Source organism: Homo sapiens, chromosome 6 (assembly GCF_000001405.40).
Source record: "Homo sapiens chromosome 6, GRCh38.p14 Primary Assembly".
Lineage (NCBI taxonomy): Eukaryota > Metazoa > Chordata > Mammalia > Primates > Hominidae > Homo > Homo sapiens.
In genome coordinates this window covers 56,838,747-56,866,507 of record NC_000006.12, presented here as the reverse complement: position 1 = coordinate 56,866,507, position 27,761 = coordinate 56,838,747, and the positions used below count along the sequence as shown (strand labels likewise).

At 41.1% G+C, this 27,761-nt stretch overlaps 1 protein-coding gene and 1 long non-coding RNA gene across 10 annotated transcripts in view, besides 8 other annotated features; one reads left to right on the top strand and one right to left on the bottom strand.

Annotated features, from left to right (window-relative positions):
- The window catches only part of DST (dystonin), a 496,835-nt gene that overhangs the window by 88,323 nt on the left and 380,751 nt on the right, over positions 1-27,761 (top strand). For 4 of the 9 annotated variants that reach the window (NM_001144769.5, NM_001374722.1, NM_001374736.1 and 1 more), the window contains exon 4: positions 14,904-15,111. In NM_001144769.5, coding sequence (NP_001138241.1) covers positions 14,904-15,111 — 208 coding nt within the window. Of the gene's footprint in view, positions 1-14,602; positions 14,721-14,903; positions 15,112-22,860; positions 23,454-27,761 lie in introns of those variants that run through there. The other 5 variants (NM_001374730.1, NM_001386100.1, NM_183380.4 and 2 more) reach the window with 2 other exon arrangements.
- Positions 2,170-22,522, bottom strand: DST-AS1 (DST antisense RNA 1). The gene is made up of 4 exons (NR_125866.1): positions 22,442-22,522; positions 4,593-4,680; positions 3,264-3,437; positions 2,170-2,653 (listed from the first exon to the last, which is right to left on the bottom strand). It is a non-coding gene; the product is annotated as a DST antisense RNA 1 (long non-coding RNA).
- Positions 3,859-3,908: an enhancer, noted in NCBI's record as "active region_24705". NCBI's record gives its function as "activates an Ori minimal core promoter by ATAC-STARR-seq in GM12878 lymphoblastoid cells {active_cell/tissue: GM12878}" and the evidence as "EXISTENCE:reporter gene assay evidence [ECO:0000049][PMID:35858748]".
- Positions 14,423-14,717: a silencer, noted in NCBI's record as "tiled region #11401; K562 Repressive non-DNase unmatched - State 12:CtcfO". NCBI's record gives its function as "represses a minimal TATA promoter and a strong SV40 promoter by Sharpr-MPRA in K562 cells {active_cell/tissue: K562}" and the evidence as "EXISTENCE:reporter gene assay evidence [ECO:0000049][PMID:27701403]".
- Positions 22,100-22,239: a silencer, noted in NCBI's record as "silent region_17299". NCBI's record gives its function as "represses an Ori minimal core promoter by ATAC-STARR-seq in GM12878 lymphoblastoid cells {active_cell/tissue: GM12878}" and the evidence as "EXISTENCE:reporter gene assay evidence [ECO:0000049][PMID:35858748]".
- Positions 22,100-23,129: a biological region, named in NCBI's record as "NANOG-H3K27ac hESC enhancer GRCh37_chr6:56708226-56709093".
- Positions 22,213-23,080: an enhancer, noted in NCBI's record as "NANOG-H3K27ac hESC enhancer chr6:56708226-56709093 (GRCh37/hg19 assembly coordinates)". NCBI's record gives its function as "activates a minimal SCP1, AML or CMV promoter by ChIP-STARR-seq in primed H9 embryonic stem cells {active_cell/tissue: H9 hESC(primed)}" and the evidence as "EXISTENCE:reporter gene assay evidence [ECO:0000049][PMID:30033119]".
- Positions 22,580-22,779: a silencer, noted in NCBI's record as "silent region_17298". NCBI's record gives its function as "represses an Ori minimal core promoter by ATAC-STARR-seq in GM12878 lymphoblastoid cells {active_cell/tissue: GM12878}" and the evidence as "EXISTENCE:reporter gene assay evidence [ECO:0000049][PMID:35858748]".
- Positions 22,870-23,129: a silencer, noted in NCBI's record as "silent region_17297". NCBI's record gives its function as "represses an Ori minimal core promoter by ATAC-STARR-seq in GM12878 lymphoblastoid cells {active_cell/tissue: GM12878}" and the evidence as "EXISTENCE:reporter gene assay evidence [ECO:0000049][PMID:35858748]".
- Positions 23,081-23,949: an enhancer, noted in NCBI's record as "H3K27ac hESC enhancer chr6:56707357-56708225 (GRCh37/hg19 assembly coordinates)". NCBI's record gives its function as "activates a minimal SCP1, AML or CMV promoter by ChIP-STARR-seq in primed H9 embryonic stem cells {active_cell/tissue: H9 hESC(primed)}" and the evidence as "EXISTENCE:reporter gene assay evidence [ECO:0000049][PMID:30033119]".

Sequence of the window (27,761 nt, the reverse complement as noted above, 5' to 3'; positions counted from 1 at the left end):
TTTTATCCTGAGTGAAGTGGAAAGCCACAGGAGGGTTTTGAGCACAGGCATGATGTACTCTGACTTAGGTCTTTGAAGACTGGATCTAGCTTCTGTATGGAGAATAGATCGTTGAGGACAAGGAGGCAAGCAAGATCAGTTGGAAGATATTTTCCAATAATTGTTCAGGCAAGAGGTGAATGTGACTTGGAATAAGAACAACATAGCTCTGGCTGGGCATGGTGGCTCATGCCTGTAATCCCAGCACTTTGGGAGGCCCCAGTGGGTGGATCATCTGCAGTCAGGTGTTCGAGACTAGCCTGGCCAACATAGTGAGTTGGCCCATCTCTACTAAAAATACAAAAAAATTAGCCGGGTGTGGTGGCATGCACCTGTAGCCCCAGCTACTCGGGAGGCTGAGGCAGGAGAATTGCTTGAACCCAGGAGGCAGAGGTTGCAGTGAGCCGAGATTGCGCCACTACACTCTGCACTCCAGCCTGGGCAACAGAGTGAGACTCCATCTCAAAACAAACAAACAAAAAAACAAAAACAAAAAAAAAACATAGCTCTAATTTATTGAATGCCTATATGTACTTTATGTATATCATTTTAGTAATCCAGTTGAATTTAGCTATCTTTGTGTTTTAGAAGATGATAAAACTCAAAATCTCCCTGTGCCTTAGAAATGCTCTAATGGGAACATTTCAGACATTGTGGCAGCAGTTTTTGGTAGCAGATTTTCAGACTCCATCAGATCCCATCAAAGATTATATTCTACCTAGAGAATCAGGAAGGCAGGTGAGAAGGTAACGCCATCTGTCCCTATGACTCAACAGAGCAGTAATGAGCTTTTACTTTCAACTAGGGAAGCAAGGCTGAGCATGGTGGCTCATGCCTGTAATCCCAGCACTTTGGAAGGCTGAGGCAGGAGGATTGCTTGAGCCCAGGAGTTCCAGACCAGCCTGAGCAACACAGTGAGACAATTCCCTGGCCACTCTTCCCCCATCTCTTCAAAAAACAAAAAAATTAGCCAGGTGTGGTGGCACACATGTAGTCTAGCTACTTGGGAGGCTGAGGTGGGAGGAGTGCTTGAGCCTGGAAGGTCAAGGTTGCCATGAGCTGGGATCTCACCACCACACAGTGAGCTGTGATTTTACCACCACACTTCAGCCTAGATGACAGAGCAAGATGCTCTCTCTCTCTCTGTCTCTCTTACACACACACACATACAGACACACACACACACACACACACACACACACACACAGAAAACTAGGGAAGCAGGGAGGTAGATTGTCACAATTAAAGTGTTCCAGGCCATATTTCTTTTGAATGGTGTTCTGAATTGGGCTAGGCTGTTTCTGTTAGGACAGACTCATTTGACTCCTTGAATCTCTGTCTCTGTGATTGTCAGAAATGGCTCCAGGAAAAATTGTGATCTAGGCAGCTTATCTACTTCTAGGAGCCTCAGTGTTCCCTTTTCGTTTTATCAAAACACTTCTGCAGGACATAGTCTGGTGGCCTTATTCATACTGAAGCATAAATGACTGATACTGTGCCACTTAATATTTTTCATCCATGGGTAGTTTGATTAGAAATAAAAAGCTTTAAACCAAAAGAATGTATCTGTTACTGGAAATTTAGGCAACAGCATGCAGGTGATGTGAAGGGAGGTAGATATTTTTTTCAAGTCCTCAAAATGATATATTTTTGGTCATATAGCTATAATCACTGCAATTCTAAGTACTCGATATCTAGTTTTTGTTTTATCTTTTTATTTTATAATAAAATGCTATGGAAATGTATTGAGTAGTATGTGCTGAGCAGGCATCATATTACAGGATTTACATACATTATTTCATTTTAATACTAATATCTAGTGAAGTAGGTATGATTATTCACGTTTAGAATACGAGCAAGTTAAAGATGTTAAGTAATTTTCTTGTGTAGTAGTATGGGTAGTTAATTATGGGGCTGGGTGAAGCACTCTGGCTTCCTAACTCAGCTTGGTGAAAGTCCTGCCTACTTTCCATAAAACTGTAAAATGTGAATTATGGCAGGTGTTTCTACTTCCCTGAAATGTAGTAAAGGTGAGTCATAAGTCTTTTATGCAGTAATATGGTAGACAATTGTGTTAGTTAGGGTTCTCCAGAGAAACAGACCAATAGGATATATTAGTTACAGCACACATACACACACAGAGATTTATTTATTTTAAGGAATTAGCTCATGCAATTGGGCTGGGAGATCTAAAATCTGTAGGGCAGGCCAGCAGGCTAGAAATTCAGGAAAGAGCTGATATTGCAGTCTTGAGTCCAAATTCTTCAGGGTATCAGGCTGGAAACTCAGGCAAGGTCTCTATGTTGCAGTCTTGAGGAAAATTCTTTCTTTGAGAAACCATGGTCTTTGCTCTTAAGGCCTGATTGGAGAAGGCCCACCCACTATATGGAGGATAATCTGCTTTACTTGAAGTCCACTGAATAAAATGTTAATCACATTTAAAAATATACCTTCACAACATCTAGACTGATCTTTTATGAAAAACTGGGTACCATGGCCTAGCCAAGTTGGCACATAAAATTAACCGTCACATCAATAGCCAGAGATTTTCACTAAATAGACTTTTAAAGGTACCTGGATTCTCCACTTGCAAATTCTGTAGCTGGTTCCTGTGCTGTGGACAAAAACACAAGGCCAGTTGAGGAAGAGAGTGAAGGATGGCACAAAGGAACATATAGTCATATGTTCTATGGTGTGCTTGTTTTTTGTGATAGAATTCATCATATTGTTTTATGGACACAGATACACATTTTTAAAAATTCTTCTTTGCTTTATTATTGTTGGAGGAAGCTATTAGGCTGGCTTGGAAATCCCCGGTTGAGAAAGGGAGGAGAAAAAACACCCAAGCAATATTTCAGGGTCAGGAGGGCAGCTGTGAAGGGGAGGAAGGTCAGGGGATTGGAATTCACACAGATCCTAAGTGTACATGATGACTAAGGAGGAGAGGGGTGTGGGCTGCACAGCTGTAGCACAGGATTCTAACTGCCCTGTGATGGGCACTGTGAAAGAATGAGTGAATTTACTTCATAAATGCAGTGGGAACAATTATTACTTACAGACAATTGGAAGTCAGAAGAAATAGGGATATTGTTATTTTTGTGCTTTTAAGTAGAATATCATGGCTCATAAAATGTTATAAGAAATATGTGTAAATGGCGTGACTATTATGTTCCCCAAAACAACTCCTGTGTGAAAGGGGACAATGAACAAGATGGTTTATACACCTTTGCTCTCTGTGTGTATGAGGAAAAGGATGAATAAAGGATGGAGTGGCTCCATAACACTTCATTACCAGCATGCTACCATCTCAGCAGTCCCTTGCATGATGCTGATCAGCTGCAGCTTCTCTAAGGGGGCAGGTTTCCACCACTCACTCGCAGCAGCTCCAGGAGCCAGAGCTATAGTTGGAAGAAAATGCAGGTCTCTTGGAAGTTGGTGTCTAGCCAGCCTTGTATCTTAAACCAGTTTGAGTCACCACAAATTAGGAGGCTTATCAAAAAGAACCTCATCATCTTGAGCTCTCCTTGTATGACTTGACTGGGACCCACTCATTTTCCTACTGCTATTCTCTGTCTCCCCACTATTACAGTTTTGCTTGACTTCTGACCTTCTTCTCATTCCTGCATAGTAAGCTAGTTTCACTTCTTACCCTAGCAGCCTCAGCCCTACCTTCCTCCAGCCTTCTTTTTTCCAGTCTCTAAATGTTTCTCAAATTCATCCTCTCCATTCCCCCCCAATTTCAATGATTTAGTTCAGGCTCTCATCATTTATTGCTGGACCATTACAGTAACTGCTCACTAATCTTGTCTGAGTGTGATCCCTCTTCAGTCCATGAGTCACACAGCTATACGGGCAAACTACTTATAACCCTTCAGCAACAATCCAGCTCCTACTGGATGAAGATGAAGATGAAGATGAAGATGAAGTCTGGGCCCCAGTGTCACATGCAAGCCCTGCTGTGATCTTCATCCACCACCTGCTTTCCAGACGCCTCTGCTGCCACTTCCACTTGATGCTCTCAAGGCACCTTGTGCTTTTCTCACTTCTCATTCTGGGAGACTGGTTGGATAACTCAAAGGTCCTAACATCTTCCCCCCTCAAACACTATCTTTTCTTACCTGATTTGGAATAAGGTGGCAACAAGCAAGAAAGGAAATACATTCCCTTCTTCCCTGGATCTAGAATAATTCAAAGCAGCCTTAAAATGAGAAAGGATGCTGGAGGAAGGAAGTAGCTGCTGTGCTGATCCCGTTGGTGGGCTCTGTGTATGTGTGTGTGCGAGAGAGAGACAGACAGATAGACACTTGGGGCATTTTTAGCCTTGGTTGTGGCAGAGCTTTCTTTCTGAATTTCTACTCACATTTGACCAAGCTGCTGAAGCCAAGCTGCCAAGCCAATAAATTCACCCAACAGACATTATTCATCAGGGGCCCCCTCCTAAGACCTGGGATTCTGAAGTACATAAGAAACAGCTGCTACCCACACGGTGAGTTTGAATCTCAGTCTGTACACTCTGGGGTAAGAGGTGTTCCCTTGTCTTTTTTTCAACTCACCTCAGGTTCTGACTCCCCGGTCTCCATGAGGCCAGGCCTGGTGTTCCCCATTTCTTCCACCTCAGAATTGTGTTAAGGTTCTGGGGTCCTGTAAGATGCATACCACGGTGTCAGGGAATGGGAGGGAACATTTGTGCCTCCAGGTTATGCCCACCTCAAAAGATTCAGGCTTGTGGAAAATAAAAGTCAGGTATTCTTGCAGGCTGTTTCTGCTTCCCGTCCTGCCATATAGCTTCCTCTAGGGGTAAAGCAAGGAAGGGACAGGTCCAGATCACCTCAGGAAAGAGAGATAAAATGAAATCTACTGGGGCCTTTAGTGCAGATACGGGGGCTTTGAGCCACACAGTTGTTCCAGATGGATCTCAGGTGTTCTAAGAGGAGGATGTGCAACAAATGTCAGGGAAAACCCAAATATTGTTAAGGACATTTGGAATGAACTTAGCATTTATTCTTGAGAGGAGGCTGTGGTTGGATTGGTTTGCTACCATGCAATATGAAGCATCCCACCTGAGCAGAGTTTTCCACCAAGCCAGCTCAGAGGGATCAGGCACTGATCCCTGGTTCCGATTGGGTGCAGCTTAAGGTAGCAGCAGAATTGTTTTCACTGAATGTACATGGAACAGCCCTGCTTTCCTCAGAAGAGGGCAGTGGGAGTGCCAGGCACTTAAAGTTTCATAGACTTTGCTTCTGTGCAGTAATAAAAGTTTTTGTTTTTAATGAAAAAGTAATTATTTCACTTAAGTGTCTACTGTTTGTAGTGAAAGAGTAAGTGTGTAAAAGCTATTATCAAAAGCAATTTTCTGAAGTCTCATTAATGAAGACAGGTAATGAAAATGGAAGCATAAAGAAGATATAAAGACATAACTTTGCTTATGTGTCAATAGAGAAGAACTGAATATCTATAATTGCTTTTTTTTTTAACACTAACATGTTTGTCTAAGTTTTTGTTGTCTCCAGTAATGGAGACAATGAATTTAAAAGAAAAAAACCTTCTGAATTACAGAAAGATATGTATTGGAAAGATACAGGGACATCTCAAAGGAGGTTTAACAACCAAGCTTGGGAAGGATAGATACGGAACTCATGGACTTTGTATCCTGAGAGCTGTTATTAAGGTGACACAGTTGCAATAACTTCTAGTTTCTGTGTCTCTGTTGTTTCATATTTCCTGAAGTGACAATTATATTGGCTTAGTCATCTACCCCTGGATCAAACAAGTGTGAATAGACAACATCACCTAATAGCTAAAATTTACTAATGCTTCCTACCTGTTGACCAAGGGTAGGTACGGGAGCAAAAACCAGCAGGGAGTCATTAGCAGTAGTGATGGGTGGGTGGGTCCAGCTAGATTCGTCGGGAGCCTGAGCCAGCATTTACATGAGTCATACAGCTTTCTTCCATTTCCTGGGCATTGGAAATGTTAACCAGGGTATTTGGGGATACAGCAGAATGAAGTGAACACTTGGATGTCAGTAGAAACATGGAACTATCTATTTTTGTTTGTTGTCCATTTAATTGAAATATTTTGAAAGCTTTCTGTTTTGTTTTATCCCCTCTTCTCCAGTTTTCTTATTTTTAAAAATTTCATCCCCAGTCTATCAATTACCACGATCCCTACCTCTCCTCCTCTACCTTTTCCTTTACTCTCTGAATACAGCAATGTCATCCATCACTTACTTCATGCCAGGGGCTCCAAAGTCATATGTCACCAGGGGCCAGGTATCATACATGCAAGGACTGTGTCAGACTGGAAAGCACAGGTCCTTTACGTGTCCTTTCTTTAAAGGGGAAACCACTAGGGCCAGTATTCCACATCTGAATTTTTATGTGAAAATTTTCCAGTATTTACATGTTTGCTGTTAATTTGTTTTTAAAAATGAGTAGGCCAGCCACAGTGCATCTACAATGATGGTGCTATCAGCAGTGAATAGTTTTGGATAGGATACTCTTGGAAGAGTGAAGTGAGGGAGCTGGGGAACTGCATCTCCAATCTGGCTTCTGAAGGGACTGCGGAGGCTCGACTTGATTTAGCCTCTCTCTCCTTATCAACTTTCTACTATGAGCCATATTTTTATGTATGTATTTATACTATTCCACTAAAAGACATATTTTTAAGCCTAATAAGTGATGATAAGATGATTGATATTTAATTATAAATTGGCGATTTTGTCACTTCTGCTCTCCCAGTTAGATTTCAGGCCCTTCTAAGAAAGAAGCCTATAGGTACTTAAGACATATTTTTAATTAACTGACATAAACAAAAATCCATTTAAAATATAAGATTAAGTATTTTCTAGTTAAATATATGTTTTCAGTATTTGAGTTTGTCTTCCTAATGCATTTGTTTTGTGGGGCTATTTTTAGAGATCTGTTTGCTTTTCCTTTAGGCAAGTTATTTAAAATGTTCTTCCTTTGGTTGGAAAGACTATTTGTAGATACTCAAATGTAAACTAGTTCTGATGTCTCTATTTCTATAATTTTCATATGATTGGGTTTAGGTGGACTTGCAAAAAAAAGATGTCTGAAATTTTTTGAAAATTTTTTTTACATTTTTTAGAAAAATTTTGTATTTCGATACTTTGCATAGTTCTTATTTTATTTGTAATCTGTTTGGGGAGATTTATGGAGGTGTGGGAGCACATAGGACCCAAGAATCTTTGAGTGGAAAGAGACCACAGAGTAAGTGAAGGCTTGGTCCCTTGGAATAGGAGAGTGCTCACTATACACAAAGCAGTCTGGGAGTACTGTAGTTGTACATTTTGAATGGTTTTTCTTTGTTGTGAACTGATACCTGTCATTTCCATGCTTTGGGCCTAGTACTGAACCCAGTACAAGTCTAGTCTTTTTGGGATCCCCAAATATATGGTAATCTTTAGGGCTGTGAGTATATGTTCCCCTAGTGCCAAGGACCACATTTTAGGGCACTTAGTACCATGTGGTCAAGAGCACAGGCTTTCATGTCAAAAGGACCTATATGGAAATCCTGGCTGCACCTTGTACTGACAGAATGACTGTGGACAAGTTACTTAATATCCCTAAACATCCTTTTTCTTATTGGATTTCAGTGAGTATTAAATAAGATAGTCAGTGAAAATGCTTAAATTATAATCACCCAATAAATTAGGCATCTGGATAGAATATACTAAACTGAAAGAAAGGAAGAAGTTTTGCAGAATGTCTTAGTGCTGAGCCTTGATTGTCTAGGATTCAAAGTGATATCCCTATTGGGAACTGAAATTAACATGTTGAAGAGGTATCTGCACTCCCATAGTCATTGCAGCATTATTCATGATAGTCAAGATATGAAATCAACCTTAGTGTTCATTAGCAGTTGAATGAATGAATGTGGCATATATACACAATGGAATACTATACAGTCTTAAAAACAGAAGGAAACAAATCTTTGATACTTACCTTGTATACCTGTGAGAGAGACCATACAGTTAGAGGAAAATGACATTGAAAATTGTCTCCCTCTTCTGTCCCATCAGCAAGCTTGGTTTCCTTAGAAATACAGTACTAAGTAACACTAACCAGTGTACAATCATTACACCCTAGAGTTTGTGTTCTAAATTCCAGTGTTCTTTCATAGGCTGATGAACTGGGCTTCTCTACCTAGAAAGAAACCTTTGACTTCCTTAACTCTGCCTGAAACTGCTTCCCTTGAGTCAGAACTTAGCAGTAACCTTCCTGCTTCCTCTCCCTCTGATCCCCCTTCCTCTCACCTCCACCCAGGCTCTTCTGCCTCTTGGAGTTAAGGGTTCCTGCATATCTCCCCTAACAGAAGAGAGTGAGAGCCAGCTAATGGCCTCACCACTAGACCCCCTCTTCCACACTTACTACCTAAAGGTGGTTTCCAGGTAAGACTTAACTGAGAGCTGTTTATTTGATAAAAGATTTCATACCTTAATTGTTCAACAAGTTTTGAAAATTATTAACTAAAGCAAGCACAAGGTGCCCCAAATTTACCATATCTCATTTTTTCTTCAAGGAGTTAAGCACATTTTCCTTAATTGTTTTCTTCTACATCTATTTATTTGTGGTAGAGCTTGTTTTCCTTGGGATCTCTAAAATCAGATAATGTGCTCTTGCTTTTAAACTTATTTCTAAATAAAAAACTAGTCATATAAGGATAGTCTTGGGCCATACCATATATTTTGATACAACATCGAGGAAGTTAATATTTGTACCTACCTACCTAAGGGAATTTTAAAGAAAATTGTATCTTTGATTTTCCTAATTTTGGAGAAAAAATTTTCTGTTTTTGTTTATATAAAATATCAAAATTATGTGATGCTGAACCTATGTTGTGTTCACTGTATTGTACATTATTAATAAATGAATAGCAGAGGAATTTCTTTTATATTTTTCTGTCTAAAATTATGCTTAGGACTAAGGCAAGCAGGTCATCTTTCTTTGGTGACTTCTTTACACAGGCCACTGCTTCTAGTGCTTCTCTAAGTGTTTGTGAAGAAATGGTACGAGAAATTTCTTAGATCAAAACTATCACTTTGTCCTTGCAACCTGCACCTGTTGATTTTGTGAGCACAGGAATAAACTAAGCAACACTTAAACACACCACAAAAGACCTTGCTATGGGCTGTGCGCAATGGCTCATGCTTGTTATCCCAGTACTTTGAGATGCCAAGGCAGAAAGATTGCTTGAGGCCAGGAGTTTGCGAGCAGCCTGGTCAACATAGTGAGACCCCATCTCTATAAAAATATTAAAAAATAAAATTAGCCCGGTGTGGTAGCATGTGCCTGTAGACCCAGCTACTCGAGAGGTTGAGGTGGGAGGATCTCTTGAGCCCAGGAGTTCGAGGCTGCAGTGAGCTATGATCATGTCTCTGCACTCCAGCCTGGGCAATGGAGCAAGACCTTGTCTCGTAAAAAAAAAAAAAGACCTTGCTATTTCCCCTCAATTCTTCATTTTGAAAATATTCAGATTTATAGAAAAGTTGAAAGAGTAGACCAATGAATACTTATTGTTAGCCTATTATCACATTTAATACTTTTCCTTGTTTTTATTGAAACAATAAAAATAAGTGCAGACATCTTGGGTTTCCTCAGCCTGCATCTTCTATGGATAAGGACACTTTCCTGCATAACCACAATACTATTATTGCACCTTAGAAAACTAACAATAATTTCCTAATATTGTCTAATAAACAACCCAGTTCCATGTTCAGATTTCCCCAGTTGCCCCAAAATGTCTTTTTAGCTTTTGAAAAAGAATCAACCCAGAATCCAACCAAGGTTCATGAATTGGTTGTGTCTCTTTTGTCCTTTTAAATCTAGAACAATTCCTCCTTTTTGAGTGTGTATGTTTCATGTCATTGACCTTTTTGAAGGATCTAGGACAATTGTCTTGTAGAATGCTTCACAATCAGGATTTGTCTGTTTCCTTGTGTGCTTTCTATTTTTGGGTTTTTTTTGGTGAATATTTTGAAATACACATACAGAAATGTGCTTAAGTTATAAATATGTGGGTATGTGGGTTTATGAAAGTTTACTTTTCAGCCTCTGGGATTTTAAACTTTTGGCTACTTTGCAAACCCTTGTCTCTGCACTTTTCTCCGTTGCCTGTAGAGAATGCCTATTGCCAAGACAATTTCTTGGCACTTTCCTACAGATCAGGGTGCTAAGGCTGGGCGGCATCCAATTTAGGCAGTTCCATTGTACTTATCTCAGATCCCCCACCGGGGTTTCAGTTAAAGAAGTTATTGTTCAGTTCCCCTTCTAAAAATGTTGCATTATGTAATTATCCTGGCTTTAGGAGATTTGGGTTGTCTTTATACCATGCGAATGAATGGGCTATCAGGAAAGTCATTTTAAAGCTTTTGGTGATCTAATTCAATTGTTAAAACTGCTTTAATAACTAGGTTGTAGAAGACACAATATAGTAGGTCCTTGAATAATGTTGTTTTGTTCAATGTGTTTTTGTTAATAATGTTGATGAGAAAAAAAAATGAATTCCTGGCTGGGGCCACTGTCAGTGGAGTTCACACTTTCTCCCCATGCCAGTGTGGGTTTTCTGTGGATGCTGCAGTTTGCTCCCACATTCCAAGGAAGTGCACATTAGGTTAATTGGTCCCATTCTGAGTGACTGTGGGCATAGATTATGAGTGTACCCTGCCATGGGATGGTGTCCTGTCCAGGTGTGGTTCCTGCCTTGTGCCTTGAGCTGCTGGGATGGGTTCACCCTTGATCCTGAACTGTAATAAGCAGGTTGGAAAAGGAATGCATGAATAAATGCAAATTATTATAAAATAAAAATTTGTAAGGTCTACAATAATCCTACAAATGCATGACAATAAACAATGTGGTATGAAGGTACTCAGTGGGTCTGCCATATTTGTGATTGGCTTTGAACTGCATGGCAGTAGGAGGTACTCCTTATATTTTTCACTTTGCAAACATTTATTCCTTGATTTAACCCCCCACCCCGATGACTGCTGTCATTTACTGATTCACCAAAAATTGGGTAAATAATTATCTTATTTGTTTTTATTAATCTTCCGTAAATGTATGTATAGCTCACGTTGATTGCAGTGTTTAATATTAGAAGTGTTTTGGTCTTTATTTAGAAGTTTGGTGATATTTTTATGCCCAGAAATATTATTTGTTGTAGGAACTTAACTCTCATTTATATTAATTAGTCTATGTAAAATTGGTTTTATTATATGTCCTTTGACTTAAAGCAGCAGTTTCCAAGAACCTATTGATGATTTTAAGTGAGGATTTACTGTACTGGGTTTTTGGCTTGTAACTATCTAGTGCTTTTTTGTTTGCAGAGATTCAGTATCAGTCCAGAAGTGGCTCATGGTCATTTATGAAAAAGGCCAACTGTTAAAAAGTATTATGACGTAGGCCAGCTTTATCTTCACTACCCTAATTACTCTGCCCCCTTGTTGGTATGGTTACTCCACAGCTCTTTCATGTATCTCTTGTTTTCAGCATACATGCCAAATGGGGATGACAAATGATGGTGTGAATTGGGGTCTTAACCTGGGGTCAGTGGGTCAGTTAATCCCATAAAATGATATGCAAAGTTTGCATGTATTGACTCTTGTACTTTATTCTGGAAAGAGGTTTCATTAACTTTTCAGGGGTGCCTATGAGCCCAGAAATGTTAAAAACACTGACTTAGTTACTTCTTCACAGAGTTGTCCATATTTTCTCTGACCCTTGACATAAAATCTTTTTACTTTTGGTAATCTTTTTATGTGCTTGTATTGGATTAAAATATTATAAGGAATAAAATTAAATTCATTCAGAATCTTAGTCATCACCCAAAGATAATCGCTACTTACATATGGGTAACTATTACATGTACATGCACACGCACATATTTTAAGAAATCATTCTTTATGAATTATTTCTTCTTTACTAAGTGTAGATCAGTAACATTTTTGTTTAATTGCTATAGAGTAGACTATGGTATCCATATAACTATATTTAAACAGTCTCCTATTGATGGACCTAGCTACCGAATTTGTATTTTAATAGGAATCAAACCTTAGGCAACAATAGTAGAATACTAGATAGGAACCTGGGGCTTTTGTTGATTACAGGAGCCCTCTTCCTTTGTCCTACCTTTCTAAGCCCCACATCAAAGGTTAGGCTCTGGCCTTTGGGTGAGAGAACATATTTGCTTTTCTTAAAACAAAAGGGAACTGTAGTTCCGCACTCTTTTCTAGCCCCCAAGATAGTAACATGATTTGGCAAGTCATTTCAAATCAATAAAGAATATAATAGGTTTTCTTTAGGATCAATCCACTTTAAAGCAGCTCCATTTAAATCTGTTTCCAATTTTCAGGGTTCAAATGGGCCTACTTTTATATAGTTTACCTTATATTTTTAAAAAGTATTCATGAAAATTTTTGTGGGAAAAAATCCGATACTTTAATTGTTAAAACACTTGGATCATGTAGCCTGGGAGAGACTTTGCCACATATAAATATGTATGATTTCCCTCAGTTTGTGTGTGTGTGTGGGGTCCATATTTTCCTATGATATATTGTTGAAAGAAGTGTTGTTGATTGTCTTTTCCTCTTTTTCTCTCTTATCTGTTTACCAATGACACTACCAGATTAGAGGCTGCACCAGTCAACACCCATGGGTCCATGGGTGGTAACTGTTCCCATCTGGCTATGAGTGATTAATGGTGTTTATGTCGTGGCATAAATCACATTTCGTTGTTCAATCAGCTGAGACTCAGGCCATTAAAAAAATTTACTCTACAAAAATCAATAACCAGTGGTTTTTGGAAAGGAGCAGTTCTTTAACAGTTATTCTCCAAGTCTGTCTGTAAAGATAAATAATCAAATTACTATCCTCACTAAAATAGTACAGGTAACAAGAAATATAATCTCACAGATAAAGGATGACCTTAAATAAGGACAGATAGGAAGCCATTTTTAGGAAGATAGAAAGCAGCCAAAGAAACCCAATACCCTCTTAAAAGTCTTTAAGAATGTCACCCTTTTATGCAGAGCCAGCCAAAAACAAAATCTCAGAAAGCTCAAGATGGATTTTCAGAAAAGCATGGAAAATAAACTGGGTTGATAATAGCATGCTGTGACTGACCTAATGCCACTCACAACTCCCTATGGATTGTAGCTACAATACAGAAAATCAATTTTATTTACTTTTTGCCTCAAGTTTGCCTAATGCCTTATTGTCATTAGAAAAATATACAGACTGTAAATAAATAAATTAGCCAAGATGATGAAATTTTATGTAAAATAAAATGGAAGACAGCTTTTTTGGGGGGAAAGAATAGAGAGCTACGTCTTACATACCTCACTTTGTGGGAAATATTACGTGAACTTCTAAAATAATGGGGTTTACACCTACTATGTGCCCACAAAAAAGAAAAATAAATAAAATAAAATAATGGTGTTGACCATGCATAGCCACAGGCCTAAACAGATTGAGGTAAGGTTGGTAGTCCTGATGCAATTAGAGTTTATTTCACGTACCTAGGGTGAGTGTTTTGGGATGTGGCTCACACAGCCTGTTTGTGCTGCAGTTGCCACTGCTTTTGTGGGAAGCCCAGTGTTTTTGCTCAAATTGGAGCATGCCTCACTGATTTCTGCCTGTAACTTGCTTCTTAGGAATCCATGGCTGCAAGTTACATTTCAGGAATTCGAGTTATACCAGTTTTGCATCTTTACCATGAGTCTCAGCGAAGTAGAATTCTCAGTAGGAAAGTCAAGACTTCCTTTTGATATGTCGTTATGTTTATAATTTTGCAGCAGAGATAGTCAACATCCTTGTTTCCTTAGTAAGCCAGTGGCTCTGTAAATAATCACAAACACAACCCAACAAAGAAGGAAGGAATAACATCTTGTGCCTTTTCCCTCTATGGAAGATATTAACACTTTTATGCAAGACATGACCCTACAGATTTGCTCCAGCTAGATGAAGGGAGGACTAACCTTCAGGCAAAGTGCTTTGGCAAAAGCATCCTGTTTCTCATTTCACTGTGTAATGACCAGGAGCTGAGAAGAGCTCTGTTTCCTGTCACTGCGCAGCATCATTCTCATTTACATTATTGGCAGCTGTTACTTTGCTGGAAGTTTAAATTATCTTGAGAACTCTAAACCGAGTTCAGATGTTTGTTTATTGGTGCTGCCATAGGCTTCTGAAAACAGTCTTTTGTGTTCTCCCAGTCTTAAGAAAAGGCTCTTCTCAGAATCAGCCCTTCCTCCCTCCTTGCTCTTTTCTGGGAACCTGCTTCAGTCTCATGAAGAAAATTAAATAAAGAGGACAGGGGCTTAAAACTGGTCAGAACGGAGTCTCCAGTGGTGAGGTGACTTGAAGCGGAAAGGAGTTGGGACTCAACATCCTGCATTTGTGCTTTGTTTTCGAAACTTCGAGTTAGTTGCATTGATGAATTAAGCAGCAGGCTAGTAATGGAAAATATTTCTACTGTCCTGGTGGGGGAGCCAAATACTATAGGTTTGTAACAGGAAGGCTGTTGATTCTGGCTTCATTGTTGGGCCAGTCATTTGTGAGCTGGTGGCCGGACCACAGGCCACACACTTCTTCCGTGCAAATCTTCATGTATTGAAACTGCCTGTGTATTGTTTTTACGATTGGAGACTTGGCCAAGAAAAGATGGTGAGCTCCGGGTTTTATTTTTTTGGTTTCTGCATATTCCCTCAGCTCCGAGGATGGTGCAGGATATGCCAGACCCAGTTTGGGGGCAGGGAGGGCGGCGGTGGTTGGTGGGGGAGATGTTTAAATCATTGAGCATATGTGAGTATTTTGCTGTTAATGCTTTTTCTGTGTCATTCTCTGTAGAGTTCCGGGAACGCGTCCTATCGCTGCTCTATGTCTTCCTCTGCGGATTTTTCCGATGAGGATGATTTCAGCCAGAAATCTGGCTCCGCATCCCCAGCTCCGGGAGACACCTTACCCTGGAATTTGCCTAAACATGAGAGATCGAAAAGAAAGATTCAAGGGGGCTCAGTGCTGGACCCTGCCGAGAGGGCAGTGCTTCGGATAGCAGGTAAGAGCATCTGGGGAAGGGGATGGAGTGGGGGAAGAGAGTTGCGGAAATTCGCCCATCTACCTCCTGGGGGGCCATAGCGGGAGCTGATGCACTGGGCAGGAATCTGTGCTCAAGGTGGGGGAGGATGATGACCATGTTTACTTTATGCCTTGTTTTACCGATAGAGCCATTTGCCCTGCCTGCTGGTGACTAAGCTGTTTGGCCCTGCCTTCTGGTTGGACGAATCGATTCCTTTGAAATGCAAGGAAATATTTACAGACATTTGCACTAAACTTTCCTAATTACTGCATTAGTTACCATAACATTCTGAAAGTATTAGCTCCAGTGATTGCTAGTATATTTGCGGGAAGCTGGAAGTGAGCAGCCTTTATTTTCATTTTTGCCCAGGGGCACTGAGCTACGCAGATTGAGAAGATCCATGGTTTTTGGTACCCAGGATTGCAAAGCATATTCCAGCAACTTGGATGTTGTTTTTCTTTAAATGTAGCATCTCTGTCTGCATCATTGTATCCATAGCAGCTTTCTGTCCTTAGTGCTTTTGAGGGTTTGGCCATCACGCCTTCCTGATTAATTAATACATGAGATGTGCCAATGTTTCTGTTCTGTGTTACCCGGTGTTCCCTTGCATTGGCCCTAAAAGCTGAACCAGAAGTGATGGCTTGTTTTACCCAGCTGAAAGCTGAGAACACTGTGGAAATCAACCTTCCAACCCCTGCGTGGTTTGTGTGTATGTGTCCTGTGCATGAGAGGTGCTTCCAGGGGTGTTGTTCCTTTCTTCCCTCAATATTTTTTTTTTCTTTCTTTCTTGGAAATGGTAACAGGGCAGGATGGAATGTGTCCTTGGGGACTTTCTTGCAAAGGCAGAAGGCCAGGTGTTCTTTAAGTTTGTTTCTGCATCCAGTGGTTCAGGCTTCCTTTCCTTCCCTCTCTTCCACTCTTAACTCTGGGGGTCCCTTTCCACAGTTGTTTTTTTTTTTTTTTTTTGCCTCCTATACTGTATTGCAAAGTTGGTACTTTCTCTTCCTCCAAGGGGGCTGGAGGGGACCAGCCCAGATTCCGGCCATCAAGGCAGCTGAGAACCCCCTTTTTGTCCCCCCAGTGGGATTTTCTGATTACGGGAAAAACAAACAGTGCCTAGCCAGCCATTCTCTAGTCAGGGTTTCTGGGGCAACAGCCTTGAGCTTCTTCTGGCTTCCGCTGTGAGATGCTGGCTGGTCTCACCCAGGCCTTTGAAGAGCAAGGGGTGGAGTGAGAAAGGGGAGGTGGAGGGAGGATGGAGACTGAGAGTGAGCAGGGGTAGACTTGGAGAGTCAAGGCAGACCAGAAAATGTTTAGTCACTGAGGCCTGCCTCCTTGCCCTGTTGAGAACTTTCCCGCAGGTCTGAGGCTCCAGCGAAATGAATGCCTATACAGATGACACTGCCCATACCAGATGTTTGACTCAGCAGAAAGGGAAGATAGATGAAAGGAGGGTGTGAGTGAGAAGTTACTGGGGGCTGATGGCCCACTTAGGGCATCAAAATGGGATACCTGTTCTATGTATTTTTTGGAAGGTAGAAGGTGCTTCTGGGCTGAGAGTTTTGATAGTAGTGGCAGAGATGGATATTTTGCTTTCAGTAATGAAGGAGGGAGTTATGACAGAAAGACAGGGCAGGTGTTTGTTAGGGGGAATGAAATTAGATAAATTGGGAAAAACTCTACTGGGCAGGAAGTCATGAGAAATTGGTAGTACTAACCATCATTGTACACTGCAGGTGGGGAAGATATTGAAGAACTCTATGTTCTAATGGGATGCAGTGTACATGAAGGTGCTGATGCTATTAGTAGACTGTGGAGTCATTGATGCAGGGGCCATCGCTTGTTAATTGTAAAATGTTCACTGAGTTTGTAGGGATAGCTGTGAAGTTGGTGGCAGGTGATGCACTGGGGATCTCAAAATTCCATTCTTTAGAATTTACAGGCCAGGTGTCGTGGCTCATGCCTGTAATCCCAGCACTTTGGGAGGCCCCCGTGGGCGGATCATGAGGTCAAGAGATCGAGACCATCCTGGTCAATGTGGTGAAACCCCGTCTCTACTAAAAATACAAAAATTAGCTGGGCGTGGTGGCGTGTGCCTGTAGTCCCAGTTACTCTAGAGGCTGAGGCAGGAGAATTGCTTGAACCCAGGAGGCAGATGTTGCAGTGAGCTGAGATCTTGCCACTGCACTCCAGCCTGGCAACAGAGCAAGACTCTGTCTCAAAAAAAAAAAAAAAAAAAAATTGCATGAATTCTTCAAAAGCAGAAAAAAATAAAATGAAACAACAAACAGTAGGGAAGCATATGATTTAATTTAATTTAATTAATTTATTTATTTTGAGACAGATTCTCTCTCTGTCACCCAGACTGGAGTGCAGTGGCATAATCTTGGCTCACTGCAACCTCCGCCTCTTGGGTTCAAGTTTTCTCCTGCCTCAGCCTCCCAAGTAGCTGGGACCACAGGCATGCACCACCATGCCCAGCTAATTTTTTTTTTGTATTTTTAGTAGAGATGGGGTTTCACCATGTTGGCCAGGCTGGTCTCGAACTCCGTACCTCAAGTGATCCACCCACCTCAGCCTCCCAAAGTGCTAGGATTACAGGCGTGAGCCACCACACCTGGCCTATGATTGTATTTTAAATAAATATTGGTAAATTAGCTTTTTGCTAGGCAAATCATAAACAATAATCATACATGGAGGATAGACTTGGGGGGCCAGTCCATAAATATCTGTTTAACTTATAATGTGGCTAAATTATGAAATTTAGATATATTATGTGTTAAACTGGCCACTCATCACCCAGTGTGAGGATGAGGGTACAGGTTATCTAATGGAATTTGGTGCTGTAGATACTATGAAAACATACAATTGAAAATTCAACTTCTAATTTTGTTATATATTTTCATACTCTTCCTGAAACTTACCCCCTCCCTGAAATTCACCCTTTTTAGGAAATGAGGTGAAGTTCAGAAATGGTGTGAGGATGTCTATAGTGGTCATTACTTAGTAATAAAAGAGCTGAGAGTTTAGTATTTTCATTTGTTTTTAAGGTCCTAAAAATAGAATTGATTGTGAAAGTGTCTATTGAGTCAAAAAGACTATGTGGTCTGTGGGATACCTTAATTCACCCACATTTAGCAACTACTTATTGAGCCCCTGCAATAAAATGAAGATTAGCATACAGTTCTGCCTTTAAAAAGTCATAGTTTCAAAAGAGATTGGTGAATGGACACAAACTTACAGTTAAAAGAAATGAGTCCTAATATTCCATAGCAGAGTAGGATATCTATAGTTAGCAATAATATATTGTATATTTCAAAATAGCTAGAAGGAAGGACTTGAAATATTACCAATACATAGAAATGATAAATGCTTAAGGTGGTGGATACCTCAGATACTCTGACTTGATCGTTACACATTCTATGCATGTAAAAAATACTTGCAGTATGGTGCCCTCATTAATATATAAAATATCATGTATCAGTAAAATAAAAAAGAATAAGCTGGAAAATAAAGGTCATAGTCTAATATGATAAATGGATGTGTTGTTAAACAGTTACAACGCGGTAATTATTAGTTGTTACAGGGATTAGTTGAGATGGCTATAAGCACCTAAAATTAAAAGAACCCAGAGGACAGTGTAATTAACCTGAGGGGAGAAGGGAGGCATGGGAGGTTCCTGAAAGGTTTCTGAGAGGAAGTGCCACTTGAATTGAGATTTAAAGAGCTTGATGGAATTAGGGTGAAAGGGAAGCCCACTTTAGAGGGATGGAACTACAAGAACAAAGGTAGGGAGATGGGTGTAAATGGGAACTGCAAGTAAAGTGTGTTGCTAAGTGTGGGATTTGGAAGGGAAAGACAGAAACTGTAAAGATGTTTGTGTACAATCCTGAGGCAACTGGACTATTTATGTTGTAAGTGCTAGGGAACCATTGAAAGATTTTTAAGCAATGGAATGGCATAATCAGGTTTACGGTTTGGAAAGTCATATTAGTGAAGGCGTCACATGTCTTAACACTTCTTATTATTTATTTGTTTATTTAAAAATTTATTTATGAGTTGAGGGTTTGCTCTGTTGCCCAGGGTGGAGTGCACTAGCATGATCACAGCTCACTGCCACCTCTAAGTCCTGGACTCAAGGGATCCTCCCACTTCAGCCTCCTGAGTAGCTAGGACTACAGGTGTGTACCACCATGCTTGGCTTATTAAAAATTTTTTTTTATAGAGATGGGTTCTCATTGTGTTGCCCAGGCTGGACTCGAACTCCTGGGCTCAAGTGATCTTTTCTGCCTGGGCCTCCCAAAGTGTTGGGATTATAGGAGTGAGCCACAGGGCCTGGCCAACTTCACTTTTTTTTTTTTTTTTTTTTTTTTGAGACAGGGTCTTCCTCTCTTTCTCAAGCTGGATTGCAGTGGTGTGATCTCAGCTCACTGCAACCTCTACCTCCCGGGCTCAAGCGATCCTCCCACCATAGCCTCCCAGGTAGCTGGGACTAAAGGTGTGTGCCATCATGCCTGGCTAATTTTTGTATTTTTGTAGAGACAGGCTTCCACCATGTTGTGCAGGCTAGTTTCGAACTCCTGGGCTCAAGCAATCTGCCCACCTTGGCCTCCCAAAGTACTAGTATTACAGGCGTGAGCCACTGTGCCTGGCCCAACTTCACATTTTTAGTCTTTAGTGCTTTTGTATCTGTTGTGGTTTCATCATATTAAAATCTGAGACTATAGTATGTTTACTTCTTATCTCCTAGGGTCAATGTGAGAATAAAACAATGAAATATAAGGAAAGGGGCTTTTAAACACCCATTGTATAAATGCTTTTTACATATGAGCAATACAGATCTGCTGTTGTTAGCTACAGGATATTGTAAGTTGGGTTTTTCAGTCATAAACTACCTGTAAAGTTACATGGTTTGTCAGTGATAATGCTATTTTAAGAAAAGGATTTTTGTCCTATCCAAATTCTTCGAAGTTGGAATTGAAGGATCAAAGGAGAATCAGACTTTGAACTCAGGCAGACTTGGTTTTAATTCCTTCTCTGTCCATGACTAGTTGTGTTTACTTGGACAATTTACCAAACTTATCTTAGCCTCAGTTTCCTTATCAAAGGGTCATGGTTGTGGTGATTAAATATAATAGTGAATGCAAACAATTCTGCTACCTCCTTGGCACATCAAATGCTTTATAAATGATAGCTTACCCATGGCCAGATGTTCTTCTAAGCACTTAATATGGTATCCTATTTAGACCTCCCAAGAACCCCATGAAGTAGGTACTATGATTTTCTCCATTTTCAGTTCAGAATCTGCTGAGAAAGGAAGAAAAACTTTGCCAAGGTTGTAGTGTCAAGAAGTAGTAGAGCTAGGATCTGAATTCAGGCAGTCTTTACTCCAAAGTCCAAGCTATTTACTGCTACGCTTTTGCCTCTTCTCTATGGAATACACTATTATTATTAGCATATTGACCCAATGTTACCCTTCCAAGAATGCATGGGGTAAAGGCTGTTTTTAAAAACAATCCCAAATGTTGCTTCTGCTCATTTTGACTGGTTCCTTAAATGGATGATTAAAATTACTGTGTGCTGACTATATTCATAAAACTGGGTGCTACTGGGTGTCAGTCTCTGATGAAGGCTCAGACGTGCCTTCAATGACCTTACTCATTGTAAAGGAGACATTTTTGAGAGACCTATGTCTATACATGTGTGGTCTGTAAATGAATGACTTTCAGGGACTTAATTGCTAACCCTTTTATTTCAAGAAGGTGTCCCATATGATGCCTGGTTGTTACTTTATGAACTAATGTGCATACAAATGCATATCGAGCTGTAAGAAAACTCTAGTAACCTTAAAGACTTACTGGGACAGTGGTTCAAACTCAGATTATAAACCAGTGGTCAGGATAGAAAAAAGAGATGTGGTCTTGCTTTGTTTGGAGTAACAGAAGTAGGCCAATTGCTGAGGAGTGCTCCAGTTCTATCTCAAGTCAGTTTTTTTTTCCCACGAGTACACAATTTTTTCTTTCAAGAGGAACTCATCCCTATCTAAGCATTAATGGAAAATGGTCCATAGTTCACAACACCCAACGCTAACAAAGAAATAAAAAATCATGGAGGGCAAAAGGTCAGTATATGTGAAAGGAGGAAATAGGGAAGGAAGATTTAGACAAGACGTGAAGTTGACATAGGTCAGACTGTCAACAATCAGCTGATTTATCTAATAATAGCAGTAGCAATGAGGTATCATCCTGTCACTGTACTCCAGCCTGGATGACAGAGTGAGACCCCACCTCCTAAATAAAGTAGTAGGTGCAGCAGCTAATCCTTATATAACACCAGACATTATTCTAAACTTCATTTACTATACAACTTTATGAGTTAGGCACTACTATCGCTGTTTTACTGATGAAGAGAGTCTCAGAGAGGATAAGTAACTTGCCCATGTGACACAGTAAGGAGTGAAGATTCTATGTACAGCAGCCTGACTTCACTGTTTTTTTTTTTTTTGAGACGGAGTCTTGCTCTGTCGCCCAGGCTGGAATACGGTGGCGTGATCTCGGCTCACTGCAACCTCCACCTCCCGGGTTCAAGCAGTTCTCTGCCTCAACCTCCCGAGTAGCTGGGATTATAGGTACCCGCCACCACGCCCGGCTAAATTTTGTATTTTTAGTAGAGACGGGATTTCACCATTTTGGCCAGGCTGGTCTTGAACTCCTGACCTCGTGATCCACCCGCCTCGGCCTCCCAAAGTGCTGGGATTACAGGCGTGAGACACCGCGCCCGGCCAGTCATTACTCTTAAACACATCCATTTACATGCCTGGGTATCAGTTGGTTCCTCCAATGGACGCTTAAACTCACCCACTTTAGTATATGATACACATATATCTAATTTAAGGGAACTGTATCCATTTTACTCAGTTTAATGGATACTAGTACTATGTAGAATGAATAATAAGGAGAGAGCAGGAGGGAGGTGATAAATATGGGGCAGTTGTGAACCTATAGGCCCGCCGCGGAGCCCAGCAGCAGATGCGCCTGTGGGCTCTGGGGGGCAGAAGGGAGGGACCGCAGGCTGGTACTCGGCAGCCTCGCGGCGGCCGGGAGCTCAGGCGCAGGCGCGGCCCGGCTGTCAGGCGCTGATGCGCGGGGCCACCTGCAGAGGCCTCCTCACCCTGTCCCCGGGATGTCCCCTAGACGCGGACCCCCGTGCCCTCCTTGCCCTGTGCTGTCACAGAGTGACCTGAATCCTCCCACGCCAAAAAGATGGGTGGAAGAAAGTATTTCCAACCCTCCCCCCGATCATCCCTTACCCAGGGAGAGCCGCTGGCCCCTCAGCAGGGGGCTGCGCACAGCGGTGGAGCGATCTGCGGCTTTGTTTCTCAGGCACCTGTTGTGGATCCCAAATAGAAACGTCGCCCTTGGGGATCCGGGACCGGGCAGCCAGTGTCCGGGGGTGGGCGTGCTTGGCCGCACGGTCCACCAGGGTGGGCGGGCCTGGGGAGGGGGCCTGGGGCGCGTGGCTCTGCCTGGGAGGGAGGGGCCGAGAGGCGCCGGGGCCGGAGCTGAGCCAGCCGGGGCGCTGACCGCCGCGCTCGCCCCCTCCCTTCCGCCCTCCGCCCTCCACCCTCCACCCTCCACCCTCCACTCTCCACCCTCCACCCTCCACCCTCCTCCCTCCCTCTCTCCCCGGCGCGGGCGAGTGTCTGCGGCGCGGCGGCCAGGAAATGCCGCAGATGCGCCGCGCAGCATCCCCGGTGAAGGCAGCGCGCCGGTCCTCCCGCACCGCTGCCGCGGCCTCGGCCCGGCCCGAAGCACGCGCCTCGTGCAGGGCCAGCAGAGCGGTCAGCGCGGCCGCAGAGGGTCCGGGCGCCCGCCGGCCCCCGCCCGCCCTCGCCGCACGCCCCGCTCCTCCGCTTGGCGTGGCGCTGCTCGTCGCCGCCCCTGGGCTCGCTGAGATTTGCCGCTGCTGAAACCCGAGAGGGACTCGGGCTCCCGGAGCCGGGCGGCCCACCATCGGCCTGCCCGGAGGCCTGGGCGTTTCCTTTGCCGGCCCTGGCGCCGGCAGCCCCCTGCGCCCCCGCTCTGCGTCTTCGGCTTCCGTGCTTCTCCCCAGCGTGCTGCTCCTTCCTCTTTTCCAGTTCCCAAGGCTGTGTCTTGCTGACTGCGATACTGTCCGGGGGTTACGAGGGGGAGAGGGGAATTTGTCAGTCATCGCTTAGATAAACTTCGGCATGGCGGGTTACCTCTCCCCTGCTGCTTACCTGTACGTGGAGGAGCAGGAGTATCTCCAGGCCTACGAGGATGTCCTGGAGAGGTACAAAGGTATGTGGTCCCTGCCCTGGGGCTGCGGAGCTTGGCACTGATCAGAGAGGCAACCGCTGCCTTTCCTTAATCAGAGCCACCACTCCTTGGGCACGAGTAAACAGGTGTCTGGACCAGTCTTGGGAATGGACCAGGTCTTTTTGCACGGGATTTAGTACCCCCAGCGCAGGGAGGATGGTGGGGTGGGCGACAGTCCGGAGACGCCCTTAGATGAGCGGTAGAGAGGGGGGAAGGGGGTTGTTTCCAAGAAGCACATTGCGTTTTCTCTCCCTTGTAAAAGCTCTTAAGCACTACGCGTAATCATAATTCTTCCTGGGAGGGTGGATACCGATTATTCTCTATGGGATTACTAAGGCATTGCTGCTGCTGCTTGGCTAGGGTATTGGTTAGCCCTGTAGAAAAGGTTCAGCATCACTAGATCATTTTCCTTAAAATGATCTTTCTTATTTGATAAAGTTTGTGACTATATACTTACTCTGATATATTGTAAAAATTATTTTATAGCGTGATGGATAAAAGACTTTAGTGAGTTTGTTGTAAATTTAAATGTAAAGAATGTATTTTGAGATTTTTTTCTGCCCATCCTTTATGTTCAGGAAATTCTATGCCAATCTGATATTTATGTTTTAGTATAATGTTTACTTGGACTTCATAGTTGAATATAATGATGAAATACAAATTGCAGCTGTCCATTTTTTAAGTGTTTTTGTGTCTGGAAATGTATTTTTAAGTGTGTGTATACCATCTTTTTATTGTGGCTCCCAAAACACTCCGAACTCAAGAGCAGCTCACAGAGGTTTAAAGTATTTATAGTGAATAGTGACCCATTTCATAGGTAGGATTCAGATGGTTTTATATCTTTTGAATATTTGCTTTGGGTTTGGTAACTCAATGTCAGTAATTTCAGTGGTATTATATGGTTAATGATGCATGTAGTTTTTCTATTAGTAGAAAGTAGAAATAAAAAAAAATTGAACTAAACAATAAAATTCCAAAGCCCCAAAAAGCCCAAATACACTCACAATTGTTTTCTCTCTTTGTAGGATATGTTTTATAACCGAAATTCTTGCAATCCTTGTAGAATTTTGTAAACAGTACAATGAGAATTCCTTTGTGCCAAGACTCTTATTGTGTATAATACTGCCACTGAGCAAGTGCAGTGATATTTTAGGCTAAAGCACATTTGTGACATTTGTGTGTGTGTGTGTGTGTATGTGGGTGGGTGGGTAATATACTCATGTTTACCTGCATCACTCCATTTTAAAGTAAGGTTTGTAATTAGTTGTTTCCAGAGCTTTGAAAAGGAGAAATATTGCAATATAGACCAACAAACCTTATTGAAGAAATACATCTGTGCTCTATACAGTCAGAAATAAAAAAATCTGAAAGTTCTAAAGTAGATACATTTTATACTTTTGAAAAAAATTATAGCTGAATGAATTTTTGTCACATGAAGTTTTACTTAAGTGACACGTGGGTGATTTCAGGTGACTGAAAACGAGTGCTTATTTGACTTTGTCTAAAAGAAGTAGGCATTGTTTAAAAGCTTGTCTTTGCCTTTGGAAATAAAAGGAAATTAAAGATCTGAAGGCCAGTGTACAACAATCAGTATTGCCCTTAAACAGATACATTTTCAAACATATTGTTCAGACGTCACTGAAAAAATGATGGGAGTTTTCCTCATTTTTACTTAAGGTTTTTAAAATGCTTAGTTCATCAATTTGTACTTGGGCTTTATAGCTGTGCTATGTTTCATTTAGTCATGGAAAGGAAAGTAAGAGTATTGGGCAGTGTATTCCATGAAAAGCTGGAGACCTGGAAAACTCATTGTTTCCCGATGTGTTTTGAAGCCAGTTATGATTTCCCATCAGTATCCAGTATGATGACTTCACTACACTGCTTATTATCCTGGTGACTTGCTGTGGGGACTGATCTAATCAGAAAAGAATTGTAGGCTTTGAATAGGGAGTGTCAGTTCACTAAACGTTCAGAGTACGGTTGCTCACTTTCTGAAATCATGCATTGTTCAAAACATTTTATGTTCTCATTTAAACTTAAAGGGAAGTCATTTTGATTTTATTTCTGACAGAGTTCCTTGGTTACAGAATGAGTTTGCATTCATCTAGAATATTATCAGGTTGCCAAGTTATCATATGCCTCAGCTGTTGAGTAGTGTAAGTGGTGGAGTCAGCTGGAACCAATTCAAAATCTGCCTGTTGTCAGAAATGTAGAATTGTAATAATCTATAATGTTAGGAATTATGAGCATTAGATTTAGAAGTCGAGAGTTTTGTTAGGTCTAGTCTTCAGACAGCCTTGAGAGGAGTTCAAATCAGACTCTGTAGAAAAACAAGAAAAGTGGAGAGTGAGCGCTAATTATTTATGGTGTAGTCAGTCTATTCTTGTATCTTGTTTTGGTCCATTACTTCTGAGCAAAAATAGGCAACTGTTTGCTGAATTAGAATAACACAGAAAGAGCTATTTGCTACAAAGAAGGGTGCAGTGTTCTGATTCATATTCGAGTCCTGTTACTTGTAAAATATATTCATGGAATATTCAGGGACATCTGATTAAAAAAACATATTTCTTCAGCTGATACCAAACTTCGGCTGAATAAAGGCATTTATTTTTGAGTAAAACATAATTCTTTATTATTGTTTAGGCTAGAAATTGTCTACATCAGAATGGCTTTCTTTTATATCTATAGTAAATTATCCAGTGTATATACCGTGTAATACAAAACATTCTTAGTAGCTTAGCTTAAAAGATACAGTAGTATCTTATTTTTTTTCTTAAGTGTAAGGAAACTAACCCATATGCTGTTATTATAAATGATTAATTAGTTCTCATCTTATGAAATTCTGCTTTTTGAGTTTATCATTGGAATATTTGTTTTCCCAACACATTGTTACTTTGTAGTATGATGTTAAGTGAGAAAATGAGATAATGTGAATTCAATACATTTCATTCTATACCTTATAGATGTAATTTTAAAATGTTACATTATTTTGTTCCACCAAAAGGGTTATTTTTCTATTGATCTGGAAGTAAATCCGTTGTACCTAGACAACCGTAATGAAAGTGTTGCATTTATCATTCTCTATGAAAGCTGCATGGAATGGTCGTTTTGGTTACTTACCTGTAATATCACTAACCCCACTCCACCCCCTCACCCCCTGCAAACTGCTGTTTAGGCAATAGGCAAAGTTTTCTCTGTTTTTTACAAATACCTTGTATAATTGCTTTAGTTTCTTCTCTCATTAGGGCTATAAAATCTGCTTATGTGCATGGTGACAAAAGGAACGAAGATTACCATAATTTTCATTTTCAGTTCGGGTTTATTGCCTTTATTGATAGGTGATTAGTAAAAATTCTGTCATTTTACTCTGTAAATCGGCTCTGACACTCCCTTGAATTGAAAATTGGAGTATACAGGTTTCAGGGAATTTCTCTGCAGCATGTAATGATCTAGCTCAGTGGTTTTCATTTGGCTTCCAGGATTCTGAAAAAACTTGATTTCAAATTTCTTCTGCTCATGCTCTGTTCATAGGTTAATAGTTATATAATAAATGAACTTTAACTGTGCTGCATCATGATAATATTATAGCTAGTCATAATAGTATAAGTCTGGGATTTTTGTTTTCTTTTAAAAGTGAAACAGGTTGAATTTGCTGAGTGTTAGTTAAGATTATGTTTGACTGTTTGTAACAGAAAACAAATGATACTGCTTAGCCAAATAGGTGTTTTCTTTTTCTTAGGTACTGAGAAGTCCTAAATAGGCAAAACTGGGTTGTAGGGTACCCCCATTTGCCAGTAGGGACTCAGACTCCTCTATTTCTGTGTGGCTATTTATAGTGTATCTTGTGGTTGTTTTGTGATCACAAGATGGCTGCTCCTCTTCCAGCCCTTATATCTCCATTCCAGGGGACAGCTGTTCCAGGGGCCATCTCTATCTGCAGGTAGACTAGGAAATGTAGATTTTTAAGCCGGCTTCATTTAGTGCCCTGAACAAAATTGAAGTTTTGTTTGTAAAGAATAAGGAAAGAATGGCAACTGGTTTTGCAATCAGCAGTGTCTGGCACATGGAGGGCAAAGTGTGCTAAAATTGGGAACTTAAAATTTGGATACATATTAACAATCATCACACAATATATTTGACTTCACTAAAGTTTGAAGAAGATCTGAGAGCACCATGAGGTTTCTTAGTATTTTCAAAATGACGCATTTGAATGTTTTATGTTACAACATGGGTTTGAAAAGTCATTCTCACCAAATAATTACGATTAAATTGTGTTTATTGCCTCACACA